General features: G+C 46.0%; 1 protein-coding gene across 29 annotated transcripts in view; it reads right to left on the minus strand.

Annotated features, from left to right (window-relative positions):
* Window positions 1-11,983: 11,983 nt before the first annotated feature.
* RACGAP1 (Rac GTPase activating protein 1) overlaps window positions 11,984-13,479 on the minus strand; it is a 44,279-nt gene continuing 42,783 nt past the window's right edge. For all 29 annotated transcript variants that reach the window (XM_024448958.2, XM_011538238.1, XM_017019227.2 and 26 more), the window contains one exon: window positions 11,984-13,165. In XM_024448958.2, the coding sequence (XP_024304726.1) occupies window positions 13,090-13,165 (76 nt within the window). In that variant the 3' untranslated portion in view covers window positions 11,984-13,089. The remainder of the gene's footprint in view (window positions 13,166-13,479) is intronic.

Here is a 13,479-nt window from a genome sequence, read left to right on the forward strand (position 1 = left end):
TGGTAATGAGAGGGAGGAGGGGAAAAGAGAGAGAGAAAGATGATTGAGAGGGAGGGAAGAGAGACTGGGTTTTCTCTCACATCATTGGATCTACTTAACCAGGGACCCTGTGTGCTCTTCTCCTGGGTCTGCTGACCTTGAGGCTTTGTGGGTGTGAGGGGCTGTGGGAGGGCCCTGGAATGAAGAGGCGAACCAATAAAATCAGTTCTTCTCATCTCTATGACGCCCATCACCATGGTACCCTAAGATGCAGCAGCCAAATTCATATAAAAGATGGGTCCTGGCGGCCAGGCACGGTGGCTCACGCCTGTAATCCCAGCACTTTGGGAGGCTGAGGCGGGCAGATCACGAGGTCAGGAGATCGAGACCATCCTGGCCAACATGGTGAAACCCTGTCCCTACTAAAATATAAAAAATTAGCCGGGCGTGGTGGCGCGTGATTGTAGTCCCAGCTACTTGGGAGGCTGAGGCAGGGGAATCACTTGAACCCGGAAGGTAGAGGTTTCAGTGAGCCAAGATCACGCCACTGCACTCCAGCCTGGTGACAGAGCAAGACTCTGTCTCAAAAAAAAAAACAAAAAAAACAAAACAAAAGATGGGTCCTGGCCTGGTGCAGTGGCTCCCACCTGTAATCCTAACACTTTGGGAGGCCAAAGTGGGAGGATCGCTTGAGGCCAGGAGTTCGAGACCAGCCTGGACAACATGGCAAAACCCTGCCTCTACAAAAAATTAAAAACTTAGCCAGGCATGACGGCTCAAACCTGTAATCACCAACATGTTGGGTGGCCCAAGCAGGAGGATTGCTTGAGGCCAGGAGTTTGAGACCATCCTGGGCAGCATAGTGAAACTTCATCTCTATTATTTAAAATGAAAAATTAATTAAATTAAAATACAAACAAAAGATAGATCCTTTTTAGTGATGTCTCCTGAGGGACTGGGGATGGGGGAAAGGCTGCCCAAGTCTTCCAAGGGCAGTGTGGCAGGCCCAGCCTGTGACCAGTGCAGTAGCTGAATCCCTGGTGCTCATAGCCCCAGTAGCTGTGCTCAGCGTTCTGTAATATCAGCGCAGATACTACTCACATCTCTCCAAGCTGGGCCCCACTCATCCATCTTCACAATCTCTCAGAGTCCAAGGCTGCCTGTGTCCTTTTATGAGCAGGGAGAGCTGGGTGTCTGTATGTATGCATGTATGAGAGCGTATGTGTAAACAGAGGACATGATTGACTTGCTCAAGGTCACCTGGTTCAGGAGCACGAACACTTAAGGTCTCCCCAGCTCCCAGTTGAGAATTTTCCAAAATAGAGCTCCTGGGGGGTTCATACAAGCTGCAGCCCCAGGAAGGAAGGAAACAGGAACTAGAGGATTGAAGGGGATGGGGGCGTGGAGCTCCTATGGTAGGCTCTTAAGCTCCTTGACAAATGATCACTGCTTTTTGTCCCCAGAGCCAAGCACACACTGGGTGCTCAATATAAGTTTGATGAATGAATAAGGCTGGGCAGTTGGGGAGGATGGGAGGCAGTAATAGATCAAGAGGAGAAAATTTCAGGAGTTACAGCTCCAAATAAGCCAGTATGACAGCAGCTGAGAAGCCTATGCTTCCAGGCAGGGGCTGGGGAGAGGGTGCATCGCCAGATATTTGCTGTTCCACCCACAATTTCAGAGCAGGCTTCACAATGTCTGTCCCAGGAACATACAGGCCAAAATATGAGGGGTTGCCTGAAGAGAAAGCTGAGGGGCTATTTTCACTAACAGTTCTTCAAAGCAGTTCTGTCAGGACAGAGCAGGAGGAAATAAGTTTCCTGAGAAGTGGGGAATTAGGTTAGCCTCTGAAGAGCATCCAAGGTTAGACGTGGAAATAAGTAACCAAAGGTTCGCTTCCCCTCCTCTGGAGCCCTTTAATAGGACAGCAGGCCATCTGTTTGGATGAGGGAAGGGCTGGCCTTTGGAGAGCTGAATCTCAGTAGCTCCAGCTGGGGGAAGCAGGCTTCATTGGCATAGCCCCTGGGCCTGGGTGGGGGCAGGGGACATGGGGAGGACAGAGACCCAACCAGGCCAGCCCTTGGTGTGCATTCCCTTCCTCCTGTTTGTCAGGGAAGTTTTTAATTAATGGTGTATAATCTGATCTGACCCTTCTCCCTGCTGAGCACTGCCTTCAATCAGTGGAGCCATCTGCAATTGCAATTCATAATTCTCCCCAAAGGGAGGGGGACTCGGGCCGGGTGCCTTGGTGATTAATACAATTAGCCTTTTATGTTGATGATTGTCTTAGCAGGAGCAGATGATGCTGTGCTGGGAGCCTGGGCGGTCGCGTCCCGATTGGCTGGCAGGAAGCCCCTCTCCGCTTCCCACCCCCACTTTTCATCTTCGATCTACTACCTCCAGGTATAAAGAGGACAGGCCTCATCTGGGGTCATACTGTGCAAGGGGGAAAAGGCCAGGAAGGGGTAGGGCTCTGAGCCACATTTGGTCTCCTAGGACTGAAGGAAGAGTAGAGTCACACCATGATCTGGGCGCTTTTACATTCCAAAGAAAATCACTTTCACCTAAAGGATTGTGCGGACCAAAGTTAAAAAAAAAAAAAAAAACTACATAAACATAGATCGGGAGTTGACAGAGTTTAAATACAGGCTCAGGCACTTAGCAGCTGTGTGAACTTGGGCAAGTTACTTAAGGATCCTGAGCCTCACTTTCCTCATCTGGAGGATGGAGTACAGTCAAAAGGGAGCTGGAAGAACTACATGAGATGTGTGTGTGTTTCACACCATGCCTGACAGGCAGTCAGATCTCAATCAGTGGTAGCTATTTTTACCACCATCATGATCGCGGTATTGCATTCTGTCTACCATAAGTTCAGCTACTTCCCCTGCAGTTTCTAATGAGGCCTGGGCTATTACTAAAGAAGGGATCACATCCTTCCCATACCCCAGGCTTAGCTTGAGCTGAGGGGGGACGGGGGGAGAGAGTTTATGAGTGTATTTGGGGGAAAGGGGGAATCACAGAAGAGGAGTCAAGAATTAAAACATAAGAATTAAACACAAGAAAGAGGCCGGGCTCTAACCACACACCTGTAATCCCAGCACTTTGGGAGGCCAAAGCGGGTGGATCACTTGAGGTCAGGAGTTTGAGACCAGCCTGGCCAACAAGGTGAAACCCCATCTCTACTAAAAATACAAAAATTAACCAGGCGTGGTGGCACATGCCTGTAATCCCAGCTACATGGGAGGCCGAGGCAGGAGAACTGTCTGAACCTTGGAGGCAGAGGTTGCAGTGAGCCGAGATCACGCCACTGCACTCCAGCCTGGGCGACAGAGCAAGACTCAGTCTCAAAAGAAAAAAAGAGAGCGAGAAATAAGGGCCTTCTCATAACGGAGAAGTGGAGCACTGAAGTGATCACACTGGGAGAGTTGGGAGACTCCAGGAATGGAGGTAAGAAGTCTGGGTGGGGTGGAAAAGAGGTGAAAAGAAGCAGAGCTTTGAAGATTAGGAATTTCACATGAAAGCTAAGTAAACAAAAAGGGAGCTGACATCAGAGCTGAGAGTTAAAGGGGTAACACAGACCAAAATCACTGTGATCGATAATGAGGTCAAGGGATCTGAAACAAGCAGATCTGGGTTTTGATGGGAGACTCCACCAGGTCAGGGGAGGGGATCAGCTAAGTTCCTCTGGCCCCACAGTGCTGTTTTCTGTGCCCCGGAGCAACCCCAGGGAGTGCCGCGAGAAGAGAGATCGATGCTTGATACTAAGAGGGATTTTAACTGACAGCTTAGTGCCAGGCCCTCTCAATGTCAGAGAGGAAGATGGGGAGGGAAGAAGGGAGGGAAGAAGTTAAGGGCTAATCAAGATGAAGCATCTGGCCAAGCTGTGACCTCTCTGGGCAGCTGTGGCAGGGGGTCAGCATAGCCAAGATCCGTAATCACTTCTCAGGGAGCGGCAGCTACACTACAGCGCAGTCACATATTTAGCAAAAGCTGGGGAGGCAAGGCATGGTTAGTGAATGGGGTTTATGGGAGTGGGGAGTCCAATAGCACTAATTAATAGGCTGCAGTTAATTAGCAGAAAAGGGGGAAATGAAAAACAATGTTTCAGAGCTCTGATTGAAACCCATAAAGGGGCAGCTATTGCCAGAGCTGCAGGTGGAGGAGGCCAGAGACAAAGGCAGGGACAAATAACTCCCGCTCCACCCCCATGGACAGATGAAACAAGCTCCAGCCAGGCCAGCGTGTGGCAGGCCAGGTCTCACTAATGCAGGCCTCCATAACAACTGTTTCAGTACTCACTGAGTGGTTAAGTTAAATATTAAAAGCTAAGACAGCCAGTGCCCTTATACAAAGGCTGGAATATAACAAACGGCCACCAGGAGTTTTGCCTAGGTTGCTAGGAACGGTGGCTCACGCCTGTAATCCCAACACTTTGGGAGGCCGAGGCAGGTGGATCACGAGGTCAGGAGATCGAGACCATCCCAGCTAACACGGTGAAACCCCGTCTCTACTAAAAATACAAAAAATTAGCCAGGCATGGTGGCGGGCGCCTGTAGTCCCAGCTCCTCGGGAGGCTGAGGCAGGAGAATCGTTTGAACCTGGGAGGTGGAGGTTGTGGTGAGCACCACTGCACTCCAGCCTGGGCAAAAAGAGCGAAACCCTGTCTCAAAAAAAAAAAAAAAGAGTTTTGCCTAGGCCTTTCCTAGAGCTTAAAGCATGACAAAATAACAAAAGAATTATTAACAGGGCCTGTTTAGGATTAAACAAGTTTATTGGGGGTCTGAAGGAACTCCCCAAACCTCCATGATTTAGCAGGAGACAAGGGTAATCACCCCATCACCTGGACCCATTTAAATTAAGTAAATTTACTGAGGTTCCAGAGGAAGGTCTTCAGGCCTCAGATCTTAGTTATAGATTAAAAGAAGTTATGTCTTTAGATGAATGCACACTTACACACAGACATCTAGCTTGGAAGGTATCTAAGCTCTGGAAAACTTTGTAGTTTTGAGTTGGTGTGGTGATAATTTCCAGGCCTTCTCCCTGTAACCGGTTACAGAAATGAAAACTCCCTTCTTTCCCAGTCCACCTGTGTCTCATTATTGGGCCACGAAAATAAGCATCCTGACCCTGGGTTTGATCCGGGAACAAGGGTCCAGCCTGTGGTGAGGGAAGAGGCCAGGACAGCAGTCAGGGGCGTCTGGTTCTGGAGCAGCAGGCTGGAGGGGCTTTCTCTGGAAATACGCTCTGTCCCTCCCTAACTGCCTGGCACAGCCCGAGTTCCAGCTCTCATGTCAGGACCTTAAGGCTCTGTGAGCTCCCCCAGCACTCTGCACCACCTCTATCCCAGCACTGAACACGTGACTTCATAGTTATTTGAACATCTGCCTCTAACAGGAATATCTCCTTAAACAAAATGATATTTTTAGTCTACTTCTAATTTCAGGGCAATATGTTCCTTATCTTTACTGTCTGTCCTATGAGACAGGCTTCCTTTTTTTGTAGGTCCCCAAATCATGGCCTTTCATTTTCAAAAGAAGAAAGAACTTCCTCTGATATTCTTGATGAGTGAGGTGGTCAAAGGATTGCAACACACACTCCCAAAACCCAGCCCAAACAGAATGTCTAAAACCTCCCATCTCTCATGTGTTAAAGCAGCCTGGTGTCCACCAGGATGTACTGTTATTTTGGTCAGCTCATCACTGATTCACAGTGGCTTTCCCCTAACAGCTCTGGGGTCATGACTGGGTCCAATCTTGATCCTGCCCCACACATTGCTTGTCTGCTTCTTCATGCTATGTGTCTTGGACTGAGCCTTGGTTTCTCTGCTTTTCCTATACTGTAGCTATCTTTCAGACCAGGGGGAACCTCCTGTTTTAATCTCTCTTTGACCACAGCAAAGTCGCTGTTTTCTTGGCCTGCACAGCTGGTCCATCCAACAGCCTATCTCACATGAATAGCTAACACTTCCAACCCAAATAACATTGATTACAAGATGCACTACTATTTTATGAGCTACTGAGGAACATTGCATTATATTAGTAAGATGCCATTGATTATAAGATGTCCCAATTCTCAGAGATATTAACAATATTTTCCAAAGTGCATCTTTTCAATCAATGAAATGATAATTTCTCTTTCTTTTTTTTTTTTTTTTGAGATGGCGTTTCACTCTTGTTGCCGAGGCTGGAGTGCAATGGCACAATCTTGGCTCACCGCAACCTCCGCCACCTGGGTTTAAGTGATTCTCCTGCCTCAGCCTCCTGAGTAGCTGGGATTATAGGCATACGCCACCATGCCCGGCTAATTTTGTATTTTTAGTAGGGATGGGGTTTCTCCATGTTGGTCAGGCTGGTCTTGAACTCCCGATCTCAGATGATTTGCCCGCCTCGGCCTCCCAAAGTGCTGGGATTACAGGTGTGAGCCACTGTGCCGGGTCTGAATCTTGGCTCTTTACATGGGGTTTTAGTGAAAAGAGGAATGGAAGGCTGAAGTGGGGACCATCTTAGGTGTCTTCCTCCTCCCAGGGGGATGGATACATTGCCCCCATATGCTCTCAACTCTGCACATCTCTTGCTGTACCAGCTTTTAAGTACCCAGGCCACCCCTCACAGTGAACGTCTCCTCTCCCTCAGTGCCAGGGAGTCCACTGAAGAGAAGCCAGCCCCCTATTTTCACAGAGGCAAAACAAACACAAACCACACCAAGCTGGGACCACAGTTTTAAGGAGCTAGAGCCTAGCACTCCAACACCATTTATCCAACCACTTCCCAACCCACTGGGTTATTTTCCCCGGAGCCTCCAGAGCAGTGTCAAGAGAAGATGCAGAGATTAGTCATTTCCTCCTAATCGGGCTAAGACTGCTCTGCTAAGCTGCCGACTGCAGGCAATTCCTGATACCGTTAAAGCAAAGCAGCTGGAAAGGGCTTAGCCCTTTAATGCCGGCAGCTGTATCTTCACAGTGCGGCTGCTCTGCTGAGGGGCTGGACTCTGTCCAGAAGCACCAGGCGTTTAGCCCCATTCAATGTATATTAACCTAGGAGGAGAGAGCAGCCACAGCCAGCTCCCTGGGAGGAAGGGAGGTGGTTCCTTTAACCACCTCCACCCCCGGGCTTTGCTTCCTAATGAGAAAGAAAAATCCCAGCCCCTTTGAATATCTCTCTACCAAAATCTGGACAAACTATCATCTCACTGGCAGAAAGAGCTTTCTCTGTGGTGGGAGCAACTCCATTTTAAAAGCTAACCTAATAACAGATCCACTTGTTAGTTTTGACAACAAAAAGACTTTAGGTCACTAACCATGGAGGCTCATTCTCCCTTGAGCTGGTTTTTTTCCTTTGAGGTCTAAAGTAGTCTTCAGATCCCAGGTATGCATATGTGTGGACACAGCACACTGACCTCCCCTTCCTGGAGAGCACTGGGCCCTAGGGTTGATGAGGCAGAGTGCTGCACAGCCCTCGGAAAGCCCAGGCGCAAAGCAGGCTGTGAAGAGAGATCACTCGAAGACTCAAAGCCAGATGGTGAGCATGAGACAGGGTGAGAGCTAATGCCACTTAGGGGGAAAGCCAGTCAGTTAATCAGTTAATCCACTGACACGTTTCTAGAAGCAGGCTGATGGCTCTGGCTCCGAGACTTGCCTGTCCTTGGCTCTGAGCATCAGAGCACACAGGATGCACAGGGGTGGCCTGAAAACAGACTGCCACCAGGAGCAACCTCAAGTGCTCACACAACTCATCTTGCTCCTTCCACACAGAAAACAGCCCTACATCACCAAGCCCAGGTCTTCCATTCTCCCAGACAACCATTAGGAAATTCTGCCCCACGTGCCGTCTCCAGCAGTTTGGGCCTCCCTGCTCTTTCTGGGTCATCTGCTGAGAATGCATAATGAGAATGCATACTACATCCACATACATAGAGTCCTCAGTGCAATCTGCGGCTCTAGGTTGGGTGTGACTTACCAAGTTCTTAGGATAATGGAGAGAACTCCTGCAAAGTAAGTGATCATCTCTTTCTACAGCGCTGCTCATTTTATAGTTGCTCACTTTGCAGAACAAGATCCTTCCTTGCATGGAATGTGAATAACACTGGCTCCAAGCAAAGGCCATTTACTAGTACTTAAGTACCTAATAATACACTTAGAGGCCCCACAATGCTCTCTGAAGTCTGAAATAGCAAGCACCAGGGCTAACCTTCAGACTAAGCTGTAACTCCCAGATTCTAACCCCAGGTAAGCTACACATTAGTTGGTAGGAGTTTGAGCCAAATCACCTCTCTGAATTTGTTAACTGGGATAGTATCACCTGTCCTGCCCCACCTCCGGTGGGTGAAGTGAGATCAAGTAAGACGATAAATGAAAGCGCTCTGTATATGGTAAATCACCATATTAAATTCCCTAGAGACTTTATGGGGAATCAGTTCCTAATTCCATCTTCAGTGATGACCAGAGAAGATTTAACTGGTGCTTTATTATAAGTCTAAATATCCATTTACATGTGTTTGAGCCTAGCACAGAGATGGTACCCAACTGTGTGAGATATGAGAGTAATGCTGCATAAAAAACAATGCAGCTAAATGAAGCCTGGCAAGAGTTACAGAGGGAGAAAGGTAGACAAAAGGAAAAATTCCTGCTTCCAACTAGGAGTCCCTGAAAAGTAGCCTCCTTCCCCATCCCACGCAATTGCAGAGGACAAAGCTCCCACATGCTACAAGGTTATTCCTGGTGACGTCAAACTGTCTTCCACCTGACTTTGTGAACACAAACCATCAACAAATATAGCTCTGAGAACCAGTGTGTAATAAACTACCCAAGTTAGGGACCTCCTGGCCTGGTGCCTTCACTTATTTACAAAATATACCCGCTACAGGGGGCATATTAAAAAATTACCAAGTTCTTAGGTTAAGTGGCCATTCTCCAAACCCTGTTTACACTAAAAGCACAATGGCTAACATGCCCCAACTCTGCATGCTTGAAAGCTTTTTCCATCAGTGGCTGAAACCTGAGTCATCACTCAGACTATCATCAAAGCACATTGATCAAGAACGTACTGTGTGAGCTGTGCCACCCTCACGTCTCACATCTGGGCATCCACACCAGCTCTTGCCCTGCTCGTGCTGAGAGCCTAAGAAAAGGTGATGCACGATTGAACCCCTTGGCATGCCAGGCATAGCAGTGGGGCCTCTAAATGCTTTTCCAAGAGGAAATCACTTACCAAGTGTAATGTACATATGTGTGTATGTATGTATCTATGTATTATTCCGTTCTCACACTGCTAATAAAGACATACCCAAGACTGGGTAATTTATAAAGGAAAGAGGTTTAATTGACTCACAGTTCCGCATGGCTGGGGAGGACTCAGGAAACTTACAATCATGGCAGAAGGGGAAGCAAACATGTCCTTCACATGGCAGCAGCAAGAAGTGCAGAGCAAAAGGGGGAAAAGCTCCTTATAAAACCATCAGATCTTGTGAGAACTCACTATCACGAGAACACCATGAGGTTAGTAATCATCCCCATGATTCAATTACCTCCCACTGGGTCCCTCCCATGACACGTGGGGATTATGGGAACTACAATTCAAGATGAGATTTGGCTGGGGACACAAACCATATCAATCTATCTGAAGCTAGATAGGTGTGCAGGTAGACCCTACCATAACAAAACAAAAGCAGCAAGCCTGGTATCTTTGCTCCCTGTACTCCCTCAGCTCTCCTTGTCATTTTGTGCTGCCTAATAATTTAAGCATGCAAGAACTGGCTGGGCACAATGGCTCATGCCTGTAATCCCAGCACTTTGTTGGGAGGCTGCAGCAGGAGGATCACTTAAGTCCAGAAGTTTGAGACCAACCTGGGCAACATCGTGAGACCCTGTCTCTATAAAAAATTTAAAAATTAGCTGGGCATGGTGGGGCATGCCTGTTGTCCCAGCTACTTGGGAGGCATAAAATAAATAATAAAATAAAAAGAACACAAGACCAATTTCAATGCCACAGGCTCAGTTCATAACCAAAAATGAGTACTTTTTTCCCCTGGTAAATCAATTGCGCACCCTAAATGTCCTCTGACCAAAACTCACATTCCTTCTTCTATCTCTGCAAGCAATGAATTCACCCTCTTAAGGAAGGATAAGTTGTTAAACACCCAGTAATAAACTCAAATTGTTGCAGCTGAATCCAACCATGTAATGCTTGCCCAGTTAGATAAACATCAAACTAGGGAGTCTTACATAGATCAGGGAGAATAAAGGTAAATATCACAACTTAAAGATTCTGTTTATTAGCAAGTGCGATAGTAAAATTAAACTGCATTAAAAGAGAGGAATGTCAGAAAGGGTTAGGAGTAAGAGATGGACTGATGGCTACTCCAAAGCACTGGACCCCCTTCCACAGCCCTCACATTGAGGAGGTATAATTAAGAAGGCCCTGGAAAGTCAGGCTGTTCCGCAGGAAGTACTGTTAAAGAAGTTGAAGGTGGGTATATATTTCCCTTTGCTATTATCAGAATTATTTTCATGGCTAAGGTCTCTTGGCCTAGCCCAAAAACTGAGCAAATGGTTGCCAACATTTGACACACAGGACCATTTCCTTTTTCGTTAATGGACCATTGGTTCCTGCATAGGGTAGCCTTGCCTTCACTAATGTTACACAATCCATTTACTTCCTCTACATTAGTGACTGAAAATGCACCTTGGGGAGATACTACAGAACAGCAAATATGGAACCAGGCCAACGCTAGGATTGCAAAGACATAAGAAAAGAGGTAGCATCTAGGGCAGTTTTAAAAAACAAGGCCTAGCAGGCGTGTGTGAAAGGGGGTATGGGACCCATCCTCTGTCAATTTGCTGAGGCAGATGGGCCCTGCTGTGAAGCTGCCCCCTCCTGGGAAAAAAGCCAGTAGGTTGCCTCCTCTCTCCACAGTTACATATTAAGCCTACAACTGTTTACGTTCAATCTCAGATACATTCTGTTCACCAGCTTCAGAGTTCCAAGTGCAGGTGCCCTCAGTTAATCATCCCAGCTCACTCCAAAGTCACTTCCAGCAGTGAAGGATGTTCTAGGCAGTCAGCCAGCCAGAGGCAATTTTTTTTTTTATCTGCACCATTCTGGTCCCTAAAGACTTGTTTAAAAAGTTGTTGTTGTTGTTTTATTTTTTAAGTACAGTCACACACTACATAACGTTTTGATCAATAAGGGATCCCATATACAACAGTAGTCACATAAGATTATAATAACCATAGTTTTACTGTACCCTTTCTATGTTTAGATACATAAATACTTACCATGCGTTACAGCTGCCTACAGTGTTCAGAACAGTCACATGATGTACAGGTTTGTAGCCTAGGAGCAATAGGCTATACCATACAGCCTAGGTGTGTAGTAGGCCACACCATCCAGGTTAGTTTAAGGACACTCAGGTTCACACAACAATGAAATCACCTAATGAAGCACCTCTCAGAATGTATCCCTGTCATTATGCAACTCATGACTGTGGTTTCTTTAAACAAGACAACAGGCATAGGACAACTCTACAACTCCAGTTTGGACAAAGAGAGACTGGATGAGAAATGAAGAAACAAACTCCCGGTGGTGGTAAGCCTGGGGTGGGTCCAGAGAGTGGGAAATGGGGATGAACAACAGAGTCAAGACACTTTGAAGGAAGTAATTTTTTCTTTTTTTTTTTTTGTGACAGGGTCTCACACTCTGTCACCCAGGCTGGAGTGCAGTGGCACGATCTCAGCTCACTGCAACCTCTGCCTCCCAGGCTCAATTTTCCCACATTAGCTTCCCAAGTAGCTGGGACCACAGGTGTGCACCACCACGCCCAGTTAATTTTGTATTTTTTGTAGAGACAGAGTTTGGCCATATCTCAAACTCTTGACCTCAGGTGATCCACCTATCTTGGCCTCCCAAAGTGCTGGGATTAGAGGCATAAGCCACCAAGCCCAGCCCCAGAAATGATTTTCTAAAAGGCATTGAAAATTACCTTGCAAGACAAGAAAACCAGCCTCATGTTCATTTTGAAAAAGCTATTTACTTTTTTTCCAAATATTATCCCAAATAGGTGTTTTACAGATAAGGGTCAATACGAAGTCAAACATTCTACAGAAGAAAATCGTTTTTACAGACATTAAGAATAATTTTAACAGAAGAAAAAGCTCACATCTATCTAGATGTGGCTATGTTCCATGGGAAAAATTTCAGCATCCAAAGTGCAAAGAAAAAATGACTGTAGCTTTTCTTACCACAAAATATTGACAATCTTCCCTTATAGCCTACTCTTTATTGTTAGTTGGGATGCCAAAGGATGATATATTGACCTTTAGAAGTTGGGCTCCACTGGACAAGGTTGGGGGTATGGGGGCCAAGCATCAGAATGAATTCAATTTTAAAAGAAAAACTGGCTTTGACCCCAAATGAACCCAAAGTTCAGCCAGCAGCACATCAGAGATAAATACGAGTTGTACTTTCACATTTACAAGGTTGTGCCACTCAACACTATTAAAGACCTAATCATCCAAATCAAAGCTACGCATACTCCCATCACTAGTTCTGTCCTCAATGCATCCCATTTTTATGAAAGCTCCATATTATAGCTCAGTTCATAATGGGGAATGAGAACTTCTGGTTCTTAGAAGGAGGCATCCTAAATCCTCTGGTCTAATCCTTTCTTTGCCCTGCCCTCCCACTTCCCACCCTGAGACAAGCTAATCTTATCAGATAGGTAGGGTTTCTGTCATTGTCTCACGGAAATCAGTTCTAAATGAAACTAGAGAAAGATCATTCTATGAGCAGCATTTGGCTTTAAGCCAAAGGAACAATAACCCCCTTCCCCAAAAAGAATCACAACCAATTCCATACTAACCCTTCTACCCCTGGAAAGATGTCTCATCTAAAAGCTCCCAACAATGACCAGCACAAAGTGCTGATATTATGTGACTTGAGGAGAAGGAAGGGGAGATATATATAGTTTTAATAAAACCCTCATGCACAATTAAACTTGAGTAAAAGCCTGGAGAATGCTAAAAGTAGTAATGAGTACAGGAGGCTGCAGAGCAGAGTACAGATGTGTCCTTTCTTATAGTCAGTCAATGCTGGGAAGTAACAGGCAGATGTGACTTCACTTGAGCATTGGAGAAGCAAAAAAGTTGCCTTGTCGTCCTAGGTTAGTGGCAGACTTGCTTTTGCTCCCAAATCTACAATAAAAAGAGAATGAACTGGAAAAATATTCTATAAAAAATGGTTGAATAAACAACTATAATATTACTTGATATAACCCATTATAAGTAGGAAACCCTAGACAACTATTTTGCAATAGTTGCTTAAGTATTCTTAGTCACCAACAACGAGAGAGGGGAAATAGTAAAGACTTTCAGAACCTTTTTAAAGAAGGAATCCTTATAGCCCCACGTTCCCTTTTAAAGTCTAGTTGCTAGCTAAAATCGAATGCAATTTTTCTTTCAATAAGCTTCAATATAATAAGAAGTCTAAGAAAGTAGTTGTTTTTTAT

The sequence above is a fragment of the Homo sapiens genome, chromosome 12 (genome assembly GCF_000001405.40).
Source record: "Homo sapiens chromosome 12, GRCh38.p14 Primary Assembly".
NCBI classification, from domain to species: Eukaryota; Metazoa; Chordata; class Mammalia; order Primates; family Hominidae; genus Homo; species Homo sapiens.